Source organism: Homo sapiens, chromosome 3 (genome assembly GCF_000001405.40).
Source record: "Homo sapiens chromosome 3, GRCh38.p14 Primary Assembly".
Taxonomy (NCBI): Eukaryota; Metazoa; Chordata; class Mammalia; order Primates; family Hominidae; genus Homo; species Homo sapiens.
Window position 1 is genome coordinate 139,632,690 of NC_000003.12, and position 21,867 is coordinate 139,654,556.

The 21,867-nt window shown below is 42.9% G+C and overlaps 1 protein-coding gene across 23 annotated transcripts in view; it reads right to left on the reverse strand.

Moving 5' to 3' along the window:
• NMNAT3 (nicotinamide nucleotide adenylyltransferase 3) overlaps window positions 1-21,867 on the reverse strand; it is a 117,871-nt gene that overhangs the window by 72,510 nt on the left and 23,494 nt on the right. For 13 of the 23 annotated variants that reach the window (NR_174944.1, NM_178177.5, NM_001401611.1 and 10 more), the window contains exon 2: window positions 5,274-5,373. The gene's annotated coding sequence lies outside the window, so the exon portion shown is untranslated. 23 annotated transcript variants of the gene reach the window in all.

The following is a 21,867-nucleotide window of genomic DNA, read 5'->3' on the forward strand; positions in this document are numbered from 1 at the left end:
AAAGAGCTTCCAGTCATCTATGGGAAGGACAATTCAATAGGCAATAACCCCCAGGGTAAGGGATCAGGGCTCAGGGCTTAACACCTCACTGCAAGAGGCTGAATAATTGGCTCCTGAAAATGACCGTGTCCTAATCCTTGGAACCTGTGAATATGTTATATTACATGGCAAAAGGGACTTTACAGATGTGATTACATAAAGAATCTTGAAATGAGGAGGGTAGCCTGGATTACTCAGTTTTATCATGAAGGCCCCCATAAAGAGGGCAGCAACGGGGCTAAACAGAGAAAGAAGATGTGTGAAAGAAGCAGTCGTCAGAGAAGAGAGAGGTGCTAGGAAGGGGCCATGAACCAAGCAATGCAAACGGCCCCTAGCTGCTGGAGAAGGCGAGGAAATGACTGTCCCCAGGACCTCTAGAAGGAACGCGGACCCCTTCATTTTAAACTTCTGACCTACAAAACTTGAAGGGAATACATTTGTGTTTTTGTTTGATTTTTTTTTTTTTTTTGAGATAGCGTTTTGCTCTTGTTGCCCAGGCTGGAGTGCAATGGCACGATCTCAACTCACCGCAGCCTCTGCCTCCCAGGTTCAAGTGATTCTCCTGCCTCTTCCTCCTGAGTAACTGGGATTACAGGCACGTCCCACTGTGCCCTGCTAATTTTGTATTTTTAGTAGAGACGGGGTTTCTCCATGTTGGTCAGGCTGGTCTCAAACTCCCAACCTCAGGTGATCTGCCTGCCTCAGCCTCCCAAAGTGCTGGGATTACAGGCGTGAGCCACTGTGCCCAGCCAAATTTGTGTTGTTTTAAGCCACACATTAGTTTCCTATGGCTGCAGTGATTTGTTACAGCAGCCATAGGAAGTTAAAACACCCATCTTTTTAGCGGCAGGCTGTCAGAAGGGACCTTCCAGCTAAAGCAAGAATGGAGAGGGAATTGAGATGCTGGGGAAGATAGTGAATACTGTGTCAGGCACAAGGCACAGCGCTGCGAAGGCCTAGACACAGCAGCTGAAGGTGGGAGGTGAGCTGAAAGATGTCAGTATGGCTCACGTGTAGGCAGGAGCTGATGTGTGAGTGGCTCAAGATGAAGCTGCAGAGAGTGGAAGGATCACGAGGGACCCTGGGTGCCTATGGAGTTTAGATTTTATCCTATGGGCAAGGAGGAAGCCTCTGAACGATTTTAAACAGGGATGTGACTTGCTCAGTCTGTGTTTCAGAAAGAGCACTCAAGTGCATCCGCAAGTTTCAGGGACAGTGGGTACATCAGAAAGTCTCAGGACGGCCCCAGCTGCCCTCAGGTCTTTCTGGCTGGAGAAGGTCAGACGGCCTCCATCTTCCTGGAATATGGCCTCTTCCGCCTGCTCACATCTCACTTGGCTCACCACGTAATGTGATGCTGGCCAATACTCCATGTGTATTAAGTTCTAACCTAGTGTGCACCCCTCAGCCCATTTGTCACAGGCCGTCGCGGAGGCACAGTAAGGAAGGCGACCCGGGAAGGTTAAGTGCCGTCACTGCAGATGTAACGTGCAAATGCTCATCGCTTGGGAGGCAGTCAATTTACCTTTCCCTGCGGTGAGCATTTGTAACGGGCCCAGGCCCGGGAAAGTGGCTGAAAACATCCCTGTTTATTATAGACATAAAGCAGATGGCTTCAGGCAGAATGGAAATGGATTCTACAAACATCTTTTATTACACAGACCTCTTGACCAGACTCCTCATCTTAAAGAAAACACAAGTCGTGGTTTGTATGTGGGGCTGACGACCACATTTTTCAGGACTCGGTGAAATCATTTCCATCTGTGTGAGCGTGTCGACTTCTCTAGGGCAATCAACCTTCATGCGATCTCCAGTACTTTTTCTTTTTAACCCGCTGTTGCTACGGGCACACAATGCTGCTAAAAACAAAAGCAAAGCATACCTTCCTTGTCGGTGTAAGGATCCTCTGCCAGCCACCCCTTGGAGGAAACAAACATGTCAATTAAGCATTCATCCTAATTATGAGACTCCCAGGAAAGCAGGCAGCCCACTCTTTAGTTTCGAGAAATTTCAAAAGATTTGAAGGAGCACAAGGCGTGGAATGAGATCTCTTGCAATGCCATACTCATAATTTGGGACTAGTTTCAATTGCCACAATAAAGTACGTCTGAGTAACTACTACTGGGTTTATTGAGTAATAGGCTAGGCACTGTGCTAAAAACTTCACACACATCAATGCTAATTCTTTCAACACACCTGGAAGGGAAGGGTTTGTGCTTGCTTTCTGGTAAAGAGTCCAATCAACCTCCCTAAGGCTCAGTGAGCCACATAGAAAGTGGAGATAATTATATCTACCTCTTAGAACTTTCATGAGGGTTATTGGAGGTGACCTGTCTAGCACAGTACCTGGCCCATAGAGGGTTCTCTAGAAATATTAGCTCCTTTGTCTTTCATTGTGTTTAAAACATAATTTGTCACTCCCTATACCAGCTTCCAGGAGGTTCTTTACCTTGTTTGAAAAAGACCTCCCATTTTTCTAGTTACCTAAGACCTGGCAGCCCTTGGACACACATTCGGCATCCTTCTACCTATTAGGCAGCTTGCTCAGGCCAGCTCAGCCTGGGAGATGTCACCACTGAAGGGTGCTGATGAGGAAGGTCAAGCCCAAGTACCAATGCTGTGTAGTCTTTTGTCTAGCTCCAAGAAAACAACCCTCCTCTAAGCATCTCTTGTCCCTGGAATTCAGAGTCAATATTGAAAAACACATGAACAGACAGTCTAATATCATTCTGGTAGAAGTAAAATTTTCTGATGAAAAATAAATATGCCTAAAATCATAGCTGATCTGTCAACATGGACAAAGAAGGCAGAAGAGGGGGTTAGAAGGTGAGGAGTATTTTGGGTCTGCTGTTAGGAATGCAAATAGCAGAAAATTAAAAACACAACCTACCAGCTACTGTGCTAGTGCCTCGGAGATAGAGGAGTAAATAAAATCTGTTCCTGTCCTCAAGAAGGTTATAATCTAGCAGGAAGAACAAGCATCAAGGACCTCTGGTAGGATAAAGTTTGCTGGCGACTCCTCAATATCCATTCTCCCATCCTCTTTAGTCACAGAATGCGTCTTCAGCTGGGCATATTGCTACCTTTCCCAATGTCTTTGGCAGTAGGCTGAGGCCACATGCCTAAGGTCTGGCCAGTGATCTTTGAATAGAAGTGTTAGGTCAGGCACTGTCCTTAAAAGGGAAAGGCATACCTTTCTCCTCTCCTCTACTCTTGCTACCTGGAATGTGATAGCTGGAGCATGGCAGCTGTATTAGACCCTGAGGACAAGGACCTACTCCAGGTTTGACAAAGAATAGGTCAAGAGAAAACCAGGACTTGATGACCCTGAAGCTGTCATGCCAACCCCGGGCTGCCTACCTCCAGGTTTCTTTTACCTGGGGTAGAAACGATCTTCAAAGCCACCATTATTTTCCATTTTTCTATTATACACAGCTAAACCTAATTCTAACTGCTATGCCAATATTTAATGAATGTTTATTGGGTTAGTATATAAAAATGGAAAAGTATGTAAACTTTTAGAAGTTTCTATTGTCCCAGTTAAGTCTATTTTATATGCAGAAACTCAAATGGACATTGTTTGAAAGGGAAAAAAATACACCTAAGGAAAAAAAAAAACTACCATAACTAAATTTGTTATATGAATTTTTCATGGGAGGAAAAACCCTTACTCAGGACTCTGGATGGCTGAAATGTGCAGCAGCGAATCTTTTCTGTAGATCACAAAAACCAGACGCTGTCCTATGTACTTCTCCCCAAAACAGATTCATTATGGCTCGTTGTTGCACTCTGCTTCTAGTGGGCATTTGCCATATGGCTTGGCAGTTTAATGATTTTCTGATACTTGACAAAAATGAAGCACAATTATTTTGCAAGGAGCTTGCGTTCCTAGATGGGTCTTTTCCAAATAACAGCTGTGCCTCGAAATTGAGTTACTCAATTTGCAATTTGTGGACACAATACTCAAACATTTACAAGTGAGCAAAACCTCAAATCACTTGGGCTATTTCCAGGCATCAGAGTTTATGAAGTTTTTAGCAATGTTATGAGTGTGCAGCTGTCAACAAACTCAAGCCAGCATCTCTGAACCTCCAGACCCTGCAGGCAGCAATGATGTCCTACTTATCAATAGGCCATGTGGAATTGACTACAAACCTGTGGGACAGAAAGAACATGAGGGCAAGAAGCCTCACTCCCAAAGTCCACAGACTAAATCTCTATTACTTTCTTTCCATGTCCTACTACATTTGTGTAGGTGATGTCCAAATCTACAGCTCTAGACTTGACCCTGCTTATGGGCCCCTAAAGGTACACAGACGTCTGCCTGACACTGGCTTGATGACAAGACAGACATGGAATCAAAGCCAACAAGTACTTTCTAACCGAGTTACCTTGATTAAGTGTATGAGTCAGGAGAGGCCAGGTAAGCTGCACTAACAAACAACCTTAATCTTAGTGGCTTAAAACAATAAAGGTTTATTTCATGTTAATAATTCATACCCATTCCACACCAGTTGAGGGCTCTGCTCTGTGTTATCTTTGTCCCTCAATCCATGACTCAAGATGATAGACCAGCCACTACATGGAATGCAGTTAGTAGCAATAGTAGAGAAAAAGAAGGCTCTGGAAAGTCCCTCACCAGCAACTTTACGCTTGGCCCCAAATTGCCACATGTCACCTCTATAGATCCCACACAACTATAGTGAGCTAGAAAGTACAACTGGTCTCTATGTGCTGAAGGTGGAAAGCCAGAAATATCTGGCAAATAGCCTTGTGCTTACTATATGATTTAATTGGTCAGTCTCAGCCTTAGTGAACCATATGGAAAATGGAGATTTTGGCCTCACTCTACCTCTCCTACTTGTCTCCCACCCACCTTCTCTATTCCTTACAAGTACTCCATATCATCGCCAAGCTGGGATCATCTACCATTCTCTAATGTGTCTTCTGCATGTTCCTGCTTCTTGGGCCTCTGTTTATGCCATTTCCTAGTGCTAGAATGTTCTCTTCCATGCCAACTCTCCTGTAGAGCTTCCTGCAAGGCCCACCTGGAAGTCAGAGCTCCCTCCTCTAACCTTGAAAAGGTGACATAGTATAGTTGTCTATATATAAATATTTTTAGTCTATATTTTGTAGCCTCCATTCTTTCCTTGCATAGCACACTGTAAATCCCTGAGGGCAGGGATCCCACTGGGTCTAATGCAGAGTGGAAGGTGACTAAAAGAGATATTTACCTTATTAATTGGGAGACAAGGCAAGAGTGAAAAGCAGATCAGAGTGGGAGCCAGGGAGCAGCAGTCCGCTTCATGGCAGGATCTAGGCTGAAGCAGGTAGCTGTGGAAGAAATATTCCCCAAGTCAAAACAGCAGAGCCCCAGGTTTGTCCACCCTCCCATCCCCATTACTGCCTTCAAAATGTGGTACTTCTCCTTTGCCCAGTTTGCTTTACCTCTTCAGAATTTCTGCATCCTAATCTGGGGTGTCAGTTCCCTTCCAAACTTAAATTTTGTTTTAACCCCATAAGTTGTATCTGCTGCCTTGGCTGAGCCCCATCCAAGGACCCTGATTCCTGATTCCCACCTTAGTGGTAATATTTGATTCCTCTATTCTCTCCCTGCCTCTGCCCATACCCAACCTGGGGTCCATCCCAAGGCCCCCACTCCAGTCTAACAGTGGGCAATATGCCACATTTAGTGTTGGGAAAGCATCCTATGCCATCTGCTACCCTGGGGGCTTCCCTGTGTATCAGGAAAATGCAGGAGCAATTGTTCGTAATGACATCAGGGGACAGCATCATGGCCCTTCTAGTGCCCAAATCACAAAACTGGCAGCCATGTGGCTCATCTCCGTCCCTTGACTTGAGAGTCTGTCAGTCCCACCTCTGTAATATCTTTATTGCTCATCCCTCTCTCAAACTCCATAGTCCCTGCCTTAGATTGGGACTCATTATTTCTCAATTGGATCTGAATGCACTCCTAGCCTGTCTTTTTTCCAGTCTCACCTCTGATCCATCCTCTGCGTAGCTGCCCAAGGGATCTGTCAACACACACATCAACATGCTGATTCCCTGCTTAATCCCTTCCCCACCAGTTTCACTCTGGATAATGTTGAAATTCTTCAGGTGTCATCCAGAGCCCCTAATCTGGTCATGACCTTTTCTCCCAAGCCTTGCTACTTACCCTCCAACCCCCTCCCTATGGCTGCTCTGTCAAACTGCCTTTCATCCTGTCCTGAGTGCTCACTCACTCTCACCTATTTATGCCAGGCTAATAGCTACATCATTTAGACTTTTACCTCCTCTACAAAGCTGTCAATGCCTATTCCTTCCAAGCTAAGTTGGGTCTTCTCCTCTGCCTTCCACATCCCCTTAGAACTTTCTCTCTTACATCTCATCCCATTCTACCTTACTCTCTATTCATCACCTATCCATCTGACTGGAGAGTGAGCTTCTTGAGGGCAAAGAATGTGTTTTATTTTTGTATCCTACACTCCAAGCATAGGGTCTTGCTCAGAGTAGGTGTAAAACGTGTGTGGAATAATCAAATTGAATGTATGGATGAGGTCAAAACAAAGACAACGTTGGGAGGCAGTTCTCCATGGGTTGCTTATGTTTCTGCATGTCTTTCAAGTAAGGCATTGGCTGCTGATTGTTCTGGACTTTCTTTCACAGATATTTGAATAGCTAACAGCAGCCTTGGAAGACTGATATTGTCTCCTGCTGGGACAAAGGCAGGCAGAGTTACTGTCCAGTATAATGAAGATGATGTCCTTCTTTGGAGCAAAAGACAGGCATGTTTATTGTCCCTGATAAAATATCTGGGTTCCTGAAGCCCAGGGATCTTCTCCCATAACACAATCCACTGCAAGTATGGGTATCATGTGGCCATCTTCACATCCTCCTGTGGGAATTGTAGCTCAGAAAATGGCACAAGAAAATGCTGACATCTGGCTACTGCTGTTGCCATGAGTAATAAAGTCTTTTGTCTCCGAGGGAGAAGTCTCATGTCTTCTGCCAGCATCCATGAAACTGTGGCAGGTTAACTTGTTAGCTTGCAAGTAGGGTAAAATTTCAGACCCTTTATGGTTCTTTACAGACAGCAGAGTCAATTCTGGAGTTCCCCTAGTGAACCAGGAAATACCACAGAGGGACAGACAATTGAGAAGAGAAAGATGCTGAGGAGATACTAGAGGTCATGAGGCCCTGACCACACTCCTTCCATATATAATACAATTTATTTCCATCAGAAAGAAACTCAGATAAAAGTGACTGTCTACATGGCCACAGTCCAGCTGTCTTCACATGGAAACAGAATCAGAAGAACCCCTTCCCAGTGAGGTGGGACAGTGCATGGTGGGACTCTGTAGTCCCATGCACCAGCAGGACAGGTTTTCTGAAACTGTGCATGCATAAGGGTCCTAGGAACATGCTAGTAGAAATGGTACCATGACCATCAGTATGGGTGGTGGATTCCAGTCAACAGAAGGAGGTCACACAGAAGGGGCTAGTGTCCCAGTGTCTGCCCTGTGCCTGAGTGGGCAAAAGCAGCCTGATTGGGGGAAAACTCAGGAGATCAGCCAGGCTGCTTTCTGGTTTTAAGAAATGAAGATTCTGGTAAAGGAGAAAGAAAAATTGCTGAGGAATATAGGGTGACAGTTGTCTCCCCTATGCTACTCAGCCTTGTCCTTAAGTTCTCACATCCTCTTAGGACCAGCCCTAAAATGTAATCTAAAAATCCTAATAAAAAAGGCCACTTTGTTTTAGCTTGTTTGTTCATTCATTCACTCAAAAAGAAAACAAGCTGCCATTACTACCAACTTCCTCAAGGTAATAGGATGACAATAGGATCCTGAAATATCTGGGAAGGGTGGAAACTTGGCCAGGCTCTCCATGAAGGCTGAACAGGCCAGTGGATGCTCTATGAATCACAGTTGGGAGGTGCAGGCAAGAGACATGATGCCCAAGAAGAGCTGTTCACCTGATACTTTCACTGGGTACAACATAACCAAGTCCAGAGCCATTCTCTCCAATTTCGTGTAATATAACTTCCTCCTAGAAATTATAAGCCAAGCAGCCCAGCTTCTCTTCTTTACTGAGCTATGAGCAGACTGCCATGGTGATAAGCAGATAACTGCAAATCTAGGCAGGGATCTATGAAGTCAGAGCAGGCCTGAGTCAGATTTGAGGCTGTGATTAATTAAAAATTTTAACTGAGTTCATCCAACATATATTTAATGGTATGCATAATCGCTATTGTGTTGGCTAGAAATTAGGCCAGAACGGTAGGCAGTTCATAAGTAACAACTGTAGTCTCTATGATTCTTAAGCTGACAAACTGTCTTGTTTCTTCCTGCACTTATTGCTTCAGAATCCACAACTACAACTGGCAGAACATGTCCTGTCCATGTTCCCACCAAAGCCTATGCATAGGTTAACAAGTGTCAAGAAGCTTGACACATTTGCCAGCAAGTTATACACAAACCTCCAGCTAACCCCATACCAGGCTCCCTCCCACAAAATGAGGACTTGTTGATTTTCCTTACTGTGTGTGAATTTAAAAATCAGCAAAAGCTTAATTTGCTTCTGTGATTTCCAAAGAACTAACGTATTGATCTGCTATGCTACGTCTTAGCTGATGGCTCTTTTTCTAGGCCATTGTGATACATGTTGATCTACGAGTGTGCATGCCACAAGCACAGCATTTTCTATAGTTGGAACAGAGAGGCTGTCCAGAGGATAGGAAAGCAAGGGCCTGGCCCCAGGGGACCAGTCATATCCCTGGGCCTCAAGGTCAACAGGCAGAGCTAGAATATAGTTAGGCCAGAGGAACTAAAGAACACTCCATTCTCAGAGGTTGGGATAAAGCCCAAGGAGGACATATGAAGGTAACAACCCCAAAATTAAGGCAGTGAAGCTTCAGCCCACAGACATCCAACTCATGAGAATTCACCTGTATGTGCTGGACTCAATAAATAAAATAATAATTTACATATAAAATAAAATGTAGGCTGACATGAAATGATTTACGCTGTCTTCCATGAGCAGATGTTCCAGAGCAAGTGTGATATAGCCCAGGAGAATCTGCTGGTCCTTCTTGCAGCACAGCAATTCCCTTTTCTTCTGGCTAACAAACACCAATTTTATTTTGCTTCAGGGGATAAGAGGCATGAGAACCATAGCACCACACCTACCATGGAAGTCTCAAGCTCTTTGCTAGTGATTGGTTAGGCATGGGCATGTGATCTAGTTCTGGCCAATGAGATGCAAAAGAAAGTACCTGGAGATCAGGAAATATTCTCCCAGATGATGAAAGAGCACTGATGAGAAAGCCCCTTTTCTGTCTCTTCTTTCCCTCCCTCCCCTGGACACTGTGGTGTAGGGATATGATGCTTGGGGCTGCTACAGCCCTCCTAGGACTACAAAGGGAAGGCCTAGAGAACTATATTAACCTTGTGCAGTATTACTTTTCTCCAGACTTATTATTATATAAACTGCTAAAATATCTTTATTGCTAAAGCGCCTGCTGATCAGGTGTTCAGTGGCGTGTGGCCCAAAGCATCCAAAGAGATATACCTCAAGAGGCCTCAGTTCTTGCCTTTCTCTAATGGTGTGTACACTTTCATGGGCCAAATGTGATCCTAGTGTGCAAAGATAAGTATCTTCTGCATAATGTGGTCTCTAAAATCAAGGAAGCAACTTCATGTGGGTTGCAGTTGAAGAGAGACTGCACCTGTGCCTGAGGAGGCCTTGGTGTATGGGGCCTAGGAAAGGATGATATGTTGAGCCCCACTGTGGCGCTGCCCTGGGAACTTTTCAGAAACACTTTTGAATGAACATTATTTTTGGTTGGCACTGTGACCTGAGAACTTAACCTCAGGGTAAGCTGCCTCCAGAACCTCTTAACAGACCCCTCTGGACTGCATCCAGTGTCCCATGGGCACCATGGGGACATTGATGAGGGCAGCCCTGCATCTGGTAGAATGGTCTCCACATTCTTGATGGCTCCACAGTGGGGCTTCCTTCATTGTGGTGTCCTGACTCCCCCTCTTCAGAGGGTGAGGAAGCCCTGCTTTTCCTGCATTAGTGCTGGCTGCTTCCCTCCTGTAATTTATGGTCTGACACAGCCTGGTGACTTAAAAAACCTGAATGTACCCTGCACTCTGACACCTCCATGCCTTTGATCCTGCTGGGCCCTCTGCCTAGAATGTCCTTTCCATCCATTTCTGTCTATTAAATTTTGCCCCCCAACACTCAGCCTATATAAGGCTGTCCATAAAAGGTCTTCTTTACTCAACAACAAAAACAAACAACCCAATTAAAAAGTGGGCAAAGGACTTGAGTAGACATTTCTTTAAAGAAAACATATGAATGGCCAAGAAGCACATGAAAAGATTCTCAACATCCCTAATAACTAGGGAAATAAATTCAAAACCACAATGAGAAACCACGTCCTGTTAGAATGACTGTTAACTGAAAAATAGAAAATACCAAGTGTTGCAAGAATGTGGAGAAATGGGAACCCCCGTGCATTGTTGGTGGGAATGTAAAATGCTGCAGCTGCTATAGAAAACAGTATGGAGGTTCCTTAAAAGATTAAAATAGAATTGCCATATGATCCAGGAATTCCACTTCTAAGTATATACTCAAAAGAATTAAAAACAGTGATACAAACAGATATTTGTACACCCATATTCACAGCAGCATTATTCACAGTAGCCAGAAGGTGGAAGGAAACCAAGTGTCCATTAACGGAAGAATGGATCAACAAAATGAATGGAAAAACAAAATATACGTTGCATGTATATAATAAAATATTATTTAGCCTTACAAGGAAGGCAATTCTGACATATGCTACCATATAGATGAATCTTAAGGACATCATGCTAAGTAAAAATAAGCCAGTCACAAAAGAACAACTATTGAATAATTCCACTTACATGAGGTACCTACAACAGTTAAATTAATAAGATAAAGTAGAATGGCGGTGCCGGGGGTGGGAGGAGAGGGGGAAGGAACACTTATTGTTTAATAGGTATAGACTTTTAGTTTTGCGAGGTAAGTTCTGAAGATTGCTTGCACAACAACATCAATGCATTTATTACACACTTAAAAATGGTGAAGATGGTAAATTTTATATTATGTGTATTTTATCACAATTAAACATTTAAAATTAAAGGTCTCCTTGTTAAGCCTTCTCTGATGCCAGGCTTCAATGCCATTGCATTGCTTGTCAACCTCTGCCTTGATTCCTTGTTTTCTGTTCTATCAGGATTGTCTTGAGATTTACCCAGTTGCCTATACCAAGAGAATCACACATAAATAGTACCAGAGATCTGATAGAACTATATTCCTAACATCAATCCCATCTCATCCCATCTAGGGCATTTCAATTATGTAAGCCAACAAATACCCTTTTTATCATTAAGTCAATTTTAGTTGGTGTGACAGCTGCAACCAACATCAACCTAATTGATAACACATTTGGCCTGAAATAAAAGAACACTAACAATAAGGAAAAGACCTCTGAGATTTCTAGGGAATAGGAAAAAATTCACAAAAGAATGCAAATAAGACTGGCATGCATCTGACCTCTTATTTGCAACACTGCATGCAAAAATACAATGAACAATACCAGCATACTGAGAGAAAACAACTTTAAATCTAGACCATCATTTAAGTACAGGAATAGAATAAATACACTTTAAAATATGAAAGGACCCAAAGTTTACCACTCAGTCACTCTAAGAAGTTCTTTGAGGATGTGTTCCAGCAAAACAAGGAAGAAAAACAACCTAAGTAGAGGTAATTTAACCCTGGAGAAAGGTGAACCTAGAATGATAGTTGTATAGGCTGAGGAGTAAGAGCTGAGGGCAGAGTGTGAAAATGTGGAGCTCTAAGAAAAAAGGACCATAAATAACATGGTCCAAAAATAATGTAAATTAAAATGGGACATAATTTTAACTCCTTGATGGAATATGAGAAAAAAGTTAATTTGACTCCCATATTAGGAATTTCTCTTTGAGTGATCCAGGGACACTTGACCCAGGAGTGAACACATACGTGGTCATAATAATGTAAATCCTATTTAATGGTGTTCAACTTTTAGAGTCAATCTAGTGAAAAGACACAGAAGGCTTGTAATCACAGAATAGAAAGGTAATGTTATCAACATTGGCAATGTAAGAATACAGCTCGCGGCCGGGAGTGGTGGCTCACACCTGTAATCCCAGTACTTTGGGAGGCCGAGGTGGATGGATCATGAGGTCAGGAGTTCGAGACTAGCCTGAACAAAATGGTGAGACCTCATCTCTACTAAAAATACTAAAATTAGCTGGGTGTGGTGGCACACGCCTGTAATCCCAGCTACTCAGGAGGCTGAGGCAGGAGAATCGCTTGAACCTGGGAGGCAGAGTTTGCAGTGAGCTGAGATCATGCCACTGCACTCCAGCCTGGGTGACAGAGTGAGACTCCATCTCAAAAAAGAAAAAAAGAAAAATACAGCTACCAGAAGCAGTAGTTGGAGAATGATGGGAAGGACAGCAAAAGCACCAATAGTTTCCTCTCACCTCGTGGAGAGTCTAGATACTGATTAAAGTTGATGAATGAGAGGCACAGATTTGTTGTGAATAACAAATGTGGGGGAAAATAATGCCTTAGACAAAACAGGGCCTAAACTTGTCTCTCATAAAATGAAGATGAGGAAGATAGGCAGTTTAGGGTTAGGGCAGCAGCTCTGATGTCACCAATTTGCCAGGATCCCTCTAGATTTTTTTCTCTGTTATTCTTAGAACATGACTTCCAGCTACCCTCAAGATTATCTCATGGTCGCATGACCGCTGTTGCAGCTCCAGCCATCATACCTGTGCTCCAGGTAAGAAGAAGAAAGAGAGGAGAAGGGTAAAGGGAACCTACCTGCTGAGTCAGTCCCCTTTATAAGGAGTTTTCCTACCCAACAATTTCTGCTTACATCTCACTGGCCAGAACACTGTAACAAGGCAAACTATCACAAGGAAAACTGAGGAGTATAGTTTTTTTTGATGGCACATTGTTGCTCTCAACAAAATTGGGTTTGTTTTAATAAGGAAGAAGGGAGAAACAGATATTGGATAGGCAAACTGGCCATTTGTGACTCAAGCGATAAAAATGTATTATTCAAGTAAAAATGTATCCAATTAAAGAATAAACATTGTAATAGAATCATCAAAAGTGAGAGGAAAGAGGAAGGGTAGGGTGCAGAGAATATAAATGAGTTAAATCTTTATTTTTTCATAATGGGACTCAGTGGCATACAATTTAAAGTTGCTTTTAACTTCCAAAATAAAGACTCAAAAGGCTAAAGCAACTTGCCTTTGGGATGTAGGTGGGGTGGGGGCAGTAGGGACAGAGCTGCAACTTTTCATTGAATGCTCTTCTATACTACTTGAGTTTTAAAAAACCATGTGCAGATTTGGTTGTGATTTAAAAGTATCAGTGTTTAGTGTTATGTTGAGAAGCCAAGCACCACTATGTTTCCTTTACAATCTGGTTCTGTGGTGGACATTTTGGTATGTTTTTAAACCACCATCACTGGCTTAGAAAGTGACAAAACTTAGCCATGGTCTGGGATTTATTTTACTTCTTTCAATTGATTTGTTATCTTTTAAACTTTAGCCATTCACATTCAATAGTTTTTTATAAGACAGTCTGTGGCAGATGCATTCCCCCTGTTTCAGGTGGGGCAGTCCACGTAGGCCCCATCCTCTGTCTGAAATGAGGCAACCAACATCTCCCCACAATCATTCCCCTGAGCCACTCCCATTTGCCCACAGACCTCTCTGCAGGGAAGTATGTTCTCTACCTGCCTGGTCTGCACTCTCAAATCACTGTCCTAATGTCTCTATAATATATTAACAGGCAATGGCCAAAGGGAGTTCTGCTGAAATAGGCAGCAGTTTGGGCCATTTTGGACTAAATCCTAGAATGCACATGATAATGCTGAGCGATGCAGTTTAATTTATGAGCATGCAGGCCTGCTATGAAATTGGGAAATGGAGGTATTAGACATTAGCATTCACATGGCAAGGGGAGGGCCAAGTCCAAAACCGTAATAGGCTTTTTGCAGGGAGGACTGAAGAGTTTGAAGCAGGAGACATAATGTCAGTTAAATGTACGCTCACGAACCTTATCCTTGTATTTGAATGCTGCTAAATGCCTAAGCAGTGTGCACTTCTCCTGGCCTTATGCCCTTAATATTGCCTAGCACAATTCTTTATTTTGAACAGGAGTGGAACACCTGTATGCACATCTGGGAAGATTTAAAAAATGTATGGCATGGGTTTGGTTTGATCTGCAGGAAAGAAGGTATAATAGATAGCTTCTCAATTTCCTTCTAGCTAGGGCATATAAACTTTCATACAGCTAAATATTTCCAAATTGAAAAATGAAGATGGGCACGTTTGTAATTTCACTCATTACAGTTGTGCATGCAATTCATGCCACACAGTCTCCAATTTAAGAAGCTTGTAAGCCAGAGATTTTCTGTCTGACCTTGACTCTGGCACTTCACCTTTCTAGCTAAGTTTTCAATGTACAGAGCAAAATAACATCTATTTCTGCCTCCCTTATGAATAAAAATACATTCTCCCAAATGGTTCAAAGGAAATATCAAATGTGCCCCAGCAGTAAAATATATTGGAAAGGAGGTCAACAACTCCATCAAACTAGGTTGAATAATGTCCCCCAAAGATGTCAGGTCCTAATCCCTAGAACCTGTAAATGTTACTTTACTTGGAAAAAGGGTCATTGCAGATGTGATTAAGAATCTTGAGAAGAGGGAGTGCTAAATGCAATCACATGTATCCTTATAAAAGGGAGGTAAGGGGAGTTTTGACACACAGAGAGGCCATTTGAAGATGGAAGAGGGAAATTTGAAGATGCTGGCCTTGAAGTTTGGAGGGGTGCAGTGACAAGACAAGGAATGCTGGCAGCCACCAGAACCTGGACTCAGCAAGGAACAAATTTCTCCCTTGAGCCTCTGAACTGAATGCAGCCCTGCTGATGCCTTGGTTTTGGCTCAGGGATACTGATTTCGAACTTTTGGCCTCCAAAATTGTGAGAAAATAAATTTCCTTTGTTTTAAACTACCAAGTTTATGGTAATTTGTTACAGCAGCCACAGAAAACTAATACACTCACAGACACGTTGGAAGGAAGAGTTTCAGTTTGTACAAAAGCTATCCCCCAGATTCTATGGTTCTTTGATGATATTTGGCTGAATTCAACTTCCTGCCTGCAGCAAGTGGAATAGGAGAGGGTTGAATGCAAGTGTAGTGATATGGTTTGGCTGTGGTCCCCACCCACATCTTATCTTGAATTGTAATCACCACATGTTGAGGGAGGGATCTGGTGGGAGGTGAGTGGATCCTGGGGGGGTTTTCCCTACGTTGTCCTTGTGATAGTGGGAGAGTTCTCACAAGATCTGATCATTTAAAAGTGGCTGTTTCCTCTGTGTTCTCTCTCACCTGCTGCCATGTAAGACGTGCCTTGCTTCCCCTTTGCCTTCTGCCATGATTGTAAGTTTCCTGAGGCCTCCTCAGCCATGTGGAGCTGTGAGTCAATTAAACCCCTTTTCTTTATAAATTACCCAGTCTCAGGTATTCTTTATAGCAGTGTGAAAATGGACTGATATATGTAGGTTAAGAAAAGCAGGCAGCCAACTCCCAGTTCTGGGCAGCGTCCCCTCCTGAAGCAGGAGGCTGAAGGCATGAGAAAAAAATGCTTAGTTCTTAAAGCAAACATGTGAACAGATTAAGTATGAAGGGGCAGGTAATTAGAGGGGAACCAAGGATTTAAGAAACTTTCTATAAATTAACCTCATAGTTTCGATAGGGATGTGTAGGCATGTACATGTGTTGGAGAAACATATCTTCAAACAAATAGTTTAATTATTAATAAACATGGCCAGATACCTGCAAACATATGTCATCAGACTGTCCTCTGAAGGTTTATCTGCAATAGTGAAAAATTAGAGACCCCACTGTCTACCAACAAGGGAATGGTTACATTCCATGTAATACTATGCAGCTATTAAAAAGAGTGACGTACTTCTACATATACCGATGTGGGAGATTATTGAGTAAATACTGGTAAAAAAATGTAAGTTGCAGACAATATTATAGTATTTTCTCACATGGTTTAAACAAAGCAATCTGTGTTATAATATACAGAAACTATATATATGTACACCTAGATATGTTTATGAATTTGTTGGATGGGTACACATCAAATAAGAAGTCATTACTTTCAAAGGAAGGAGTAGGGTTGTTGAGGGGGTGGTAAGAAGAGTGGACAGACTTGGGCTTTATTAGTATTACTTTATACTAATGCACTTTTTCCCTAAGCATGTATTCTTTTTTGTAATTTTAGGAATCAAAAAAGATGAAAATGCAATAAAGATACACTATGAGAACCTTGTTTTGAATGATGTCTGGCAAACAGTGGCGACCCTCAGTAATTGTGTGCTCAGTGAAGGGCTATGCAGGAGATGGTCTTTAAAGATTGCCTGTGGTTTCTGGAAGTTTCCTGTAACCCAGCTAATGTTGCAGGATGGCAAGCAAAGAAAACAAACAAACAAACAAACAAACAAAAAAACTGGCTTTTACACCAAACTCCCTGGTGGTCTTCCATGTTTTTATTTAAAAAAAGAAAAAAAAGACACACAGTAAGTAGCCAAAGTCTGAGGCAAGTGCGTCTTTTGTCTCTTCTACAAGAGTGGGGCAAAGTCACCATTCATTGACTCAGTTTCACACAAAAGCCAAGGGAATCTGTCTTTTGAACACTTTCCTTCTGAAAAATTCTATATGATGATGCTTCCAAAGGTTGTTTTACCTCCTGGAAGGGCAGCTTCTCCCCAGTGAGCAGTCAGTTCCTGCACGGTTAGCTATTGTACGCAGCCCTCCTAGTGTTTGTGAGTTGCACACCAGGGAGGGGGGCACTATACCTTTGAAAAGGACACCCCTAGCCTCACTCCTCTGAGTGCACCCCAAAACACACCCAAACCACGCTTCATCACATACAAAAGGAGAACTCTTTGATCAAAAGGGTCCCACCTTACTTGCCAATTTGAAACACTGTTTTGGATTAATGCAGTCAGGCTGACAAACTGCACACCCCAAAGGCATTAATACAGCTAGGAGAAACATGCATTGACTTCACAACATTCAATTTAGGGGCCATGAAGAGATGAATGGGAGTGTGTCTCAAGACCCCAAAGCAAAGATGTGATTTCTGGACAACAAGAAACCAGGAGCCCACTTGCCTTTTGGATAAACAAAAGCAAGGGCATGGGGTAACTTCCATCTCAAACACAGACTGCATAGGGGCAGTGCTTTACAGGTGACAGGTCTCTACAAATACTTCTTAAGCGATGGCTCTTACTGCAATTACTGCTTTTTGCTGAATGAAAGGAACCAATCCCTCTCTCTTCTCCATATAATATGAAATGTTTATTTTTTCAAGACATATTTCTCCAAGATTGGCCACAAATCATAAAAAGTGTTGACATTTTATGACTCCTTATTACAAATTTCAGGAAAGATTTTCATCTTCTGCATTTTAAAGATACTGTTACAAAAATACATAGATTGGGAGTTGGATTTTTCCTTAGGCAGAGGGAATGCTCTATCTGGAAGGCTTATGCTTAACCAAAATATTTAACTTTGTTGGTTTTGTGCTCCCATTTGCAGAATGTTAACATGTGGTCTAAACCCCCTGTGTTATAATTGAAGAAACTCACTTGTAGTTGAGTACTGGAGAGGTGATGTTGCTTATCCAAGGTTATACAGTAAGTTAATAACAGAGCTAGAGTCAGAGCTCTGGACTCAGGGCTGAGATTTCTATCACACTGTGACAGTGCTTTATAAACCAAGCTCTTTGGCTGTGGAGACTTTTAGGTTTTACCTGAGGAATGCATCCTGACATATAACCCTCATCCCTCGGCCTAATGAGATTGACACTCTGGGACAAATGTGGAAGATGCAGGAGATCCCTTCTGTGAAAGCGATAAATTCAGAGAAATCTAAAGCTGAAAAGGACCTGGAGCAATTCTCTACTCCATTTCCCTTCCTCGAGGCAGAAGTTGCTGACATCATGCCAAGGGAGAAGTATTTATCTTTCTAAAACTCTTCAGGGAAGATTCATAACTTCTCTTACAAAAAGGAATATCTGATTTTCTCTGAACAGTAGGATCCAAGAAGTAATCAAAGAAAACCACCACATCATTTATAAAATAAAAAATATAAAATCTTCCTTACTTTGATACCTCAGAAGTGATTATTTAAAATAACTTTCTAATTTAACCCAATATGAACATTTCTATTGTAAAAGGAAAATGTGTTGGAAAATAAGAAGAGCATGGAGTTGGCATGACATGTTAACCATAATTTTTGTAAGAATTGGTAAGAAGTAAGAGACCCACTCAGGCCTGTTTGTGTGAAGAACTTTGGTAGAAAGTATAATATATAAATACCCGCACAGCATAAAAACTCATGGATTAGAGACTAAATAATGGCTTCCATTATATGATTTTCATTTTAAGTTTCCCAAGTCTCCATTTTTTTTTGCAAAGTAGTTTCTGTATTAGGCCTTAGCTCAAGAAGGTACATTTCTAACTAATCTGAATGGAAAAATAACAGACTAAAAACTCCACCAATGATTCCATATATATTCATGCCAAATGATTCAAAAGCTAGAGGTTATTCTGAGAGGGGAAGGCTGCCTAACATCTGTGATACTAAGAGAAGAGAAGCTATGCTTTATCTGCAGACAATACTGCTGACCCACTGCCAATGACTTTGAACTGCCTCTCCATCAGACATGATGAGATTCCAGAATCCTGAAAACCAAAGGGTGTATCTCAAAGGTAGCTGCTGGAATTAAGGTGGCCCACATCTGTGGTACAGCTCAGGCTGTGTGCAGAGCTGGCAGGTCTGAGGGCAGAGCGAATCCCTAGACTCCTGGTCTCAGGGTCCCAGGCTCCGGGCAAGGGTGCAAAATGGCCTCCTTAATTACTTCCCCTACCCTATCCCACCCCCTTAATGGCCTATTAAAGCTTCTCCCAGCCATAACTCAGTGCTCCTGCTCCAACCATTTCCTGCCTTCTCTGCTATTCCAAAGTCAGTGTTCCTCTGAATGCTCCATGCTCCCTGCCCTGGAGGAGGGAAACTGACAGCCTGGGGACCTAAGTCCTCCCTTCCTCACTGAGCAGCATATCTGGAGCCCACTCCTTGATCTGTGTCCAGCCCTCACTGTTCCACCCAGCTTCAGGCCTGCCAGAGAAAATTCTAGGCCCTTGTCTAGAGGCCCCCAAAGCCTAGGCTGGAGGTGATGCTGGGAGGAAGCCATGCCTGGGGAAGACCATCGTGCCCTGAGTCCTACCCTCAGCCAGCCAGTGCCCAGGCCTGGCATGGCATTCCAGAAGATTCACAGCTTCACTGCCCTGCAGCAGCCCGGGGCTGTAATGTCCCCTTACATTTTGTGGGTACCCAGATGATCAACATCACTGTGTGTAAGGGGACTCAGAAGTGAGGTTAAATGGCTCCGGGTGAACAATCCAAGGAAAGATAAAGAATAAGCATTTGCACTGACTAATATTTCCAACCATTTAAGGGGCACACATATTTCAATTAGATGCTATTACTCCACCTTTGCAGATGAGGAAACTGGGACTTAGAGAACTGAACTTGTTTGCCCAAGATTGCACAGCAAGGAGGAGTGAGCTGAGATGAGATTCGACCCCACCCTGCCAGGTGTTCCAGGTGTCTCTGCTGAGCTGTGTAGCATGGCCCCTCAGGACCTGGGTATGAGCAAGAGCAGCCTATGGGGGGCAACAGCACTTCTCAGTGGGCCCAAGAGAGGCCCTTGTGAGGACTTTACTACATTGACTCCCTGGTTCCCAACAGCAATGTTTTTAAGTGAAATTGCAAAATTTTCAAAACCAAATTACATCCACTTTAATTTTGAAAGCAAAAGCAAACAGATGTCCTGCAGCCTCTTCCCCTGGGAGAGGGTATTGAGATCCAATAAACCACGCATCTTCTCTTCCTCGAGAGAAGCTGGGAATCACCACAGAACCAAATGCAGCTCTGCCTCTGTGAGAGCAAACAGTTTTGGCTGTACTTCTAGAAGTCCAGAAGCAAAAGTGACCAGAGAAAAGCAGGTATGCGCCTCACCAGTGAGAGGCACATTCACCTAAGAGAGGATTAAAAAGATTCAAAGTACAAAATGGGTTTCATGATAAGTATTTTACTCTCATTTTATTGAAATAATGGAGTTAAAATGTTAAAGGAAAGGATAGATTGGCAGCGGGGGCAGGGGTGTTGGTGGTGCCATAAGTTGCAGTTTATGGAGTCATTGCTTCATAAATGTCACTGTATTGGTGTTATTCTATCATTTTCTGTGCCTACTCCATTTTATAAAATTACTTATGTTTGGATTAAATGGCTCCTAAGAGGTCATCCTGTAAATAACATGGGACTAAGGTGTGTGTGTGTTTCTTAATTCAAATGCAAAATATCTTACACCTCTCAATGTGCCATGGAATAATGCAAAAGGTGATATTGTTAAAACCCCCATAATTTAAAAAAAAACTGTTCTATTTAAAAATAATGGAAATCAGGAGTTATAAAATGCTTATGTGAGTTGAAGCCATTATTTTCTGAGCAATCAAACAGATCATTTATCAGCAAAACCTACTCTTTCCTTTTATACTCATAGCTCATTAGTTTATATAATATTTAATAAAGTTATTTGACTATATTAGCAAATACAGCCAGCACTGACACTTTTGGAAACAAACAGCTGACTGCTAAGTGTAGTAGCCACGTGTTGGGGTCAGGAGGATGCCCGAGAGGGCTCAGTTTGTTGCCTTCAAGGTCTCTGTGCCTAGCTCTGTCCCAGCTGGGGCATAAGCCAGGTTTACGAAATTCTGGCTGAATGGATAAATGAGCTTCCCCACAGCCCCACCCTATTCCAGCCCCAGAAACTCCTCAAGCAAACCGTAGCTGCCTAGACTTTCTTCCCCTACTTCCATTCACTCACTGCTTGAGTCACAGTCAGCAACACGTTGTAACTCGAACCTGGGGCGTGGCAGCATTTCAGAGCAAGGTAGAAGGGACCAGAGACATTTTCTAGTTTAGCCTCATCATTCCGTAGATCAGCAGGTTGGAGACAAGCTATGAGATCTGGTCAAGGGCAAATAGTGCCCTCTGACCAGCGCTTCTGCTCCCCCCTCTTGTCCCTCAGTGTCCAGGAGCTAGTAGAGTACAGAGCACACACAGTCTTACACTGGGACAGCTCCCAAAACCATCATGCTCACTATGTCTTATGAATGGGATCCTTCAGGCAGGATTCGCACTTAGCTCCCCTTTACTTCCCTGTGGATAGGAGCATGAGAGGTACCTGATTAGCTGAAAAGCTAAGCATTTGGCAATTAATCTGCAGATAAAAATAAAGTCAACTTCAAACCAGGGGTCTGATTTAAATGTAAACAGTGTGTCCCTACTGATCCATGAGCCTGGAACTGACTCAGAATAAGGATGGTGATGAAAAACTAAGCCACTGGCAGACATGCCCATTCACTAGCAGGCCTGTGGGCCCACCAGGGAGAGAGAGAGCCAGACGCTGGGTTACAAAGCAAGGGCAAAAGTAAGAAAACTTGCTTTCTGAGCTCACAACTGATTCATTAATGAAACTGACCTCCTTCAGATGCCGAAAGCATTTGTGTGCCCTTCAGTACTTATAACAATATCACAAAAATAAGATGCAAAGCAGCAAACACATTGCTGTCCTGATTATG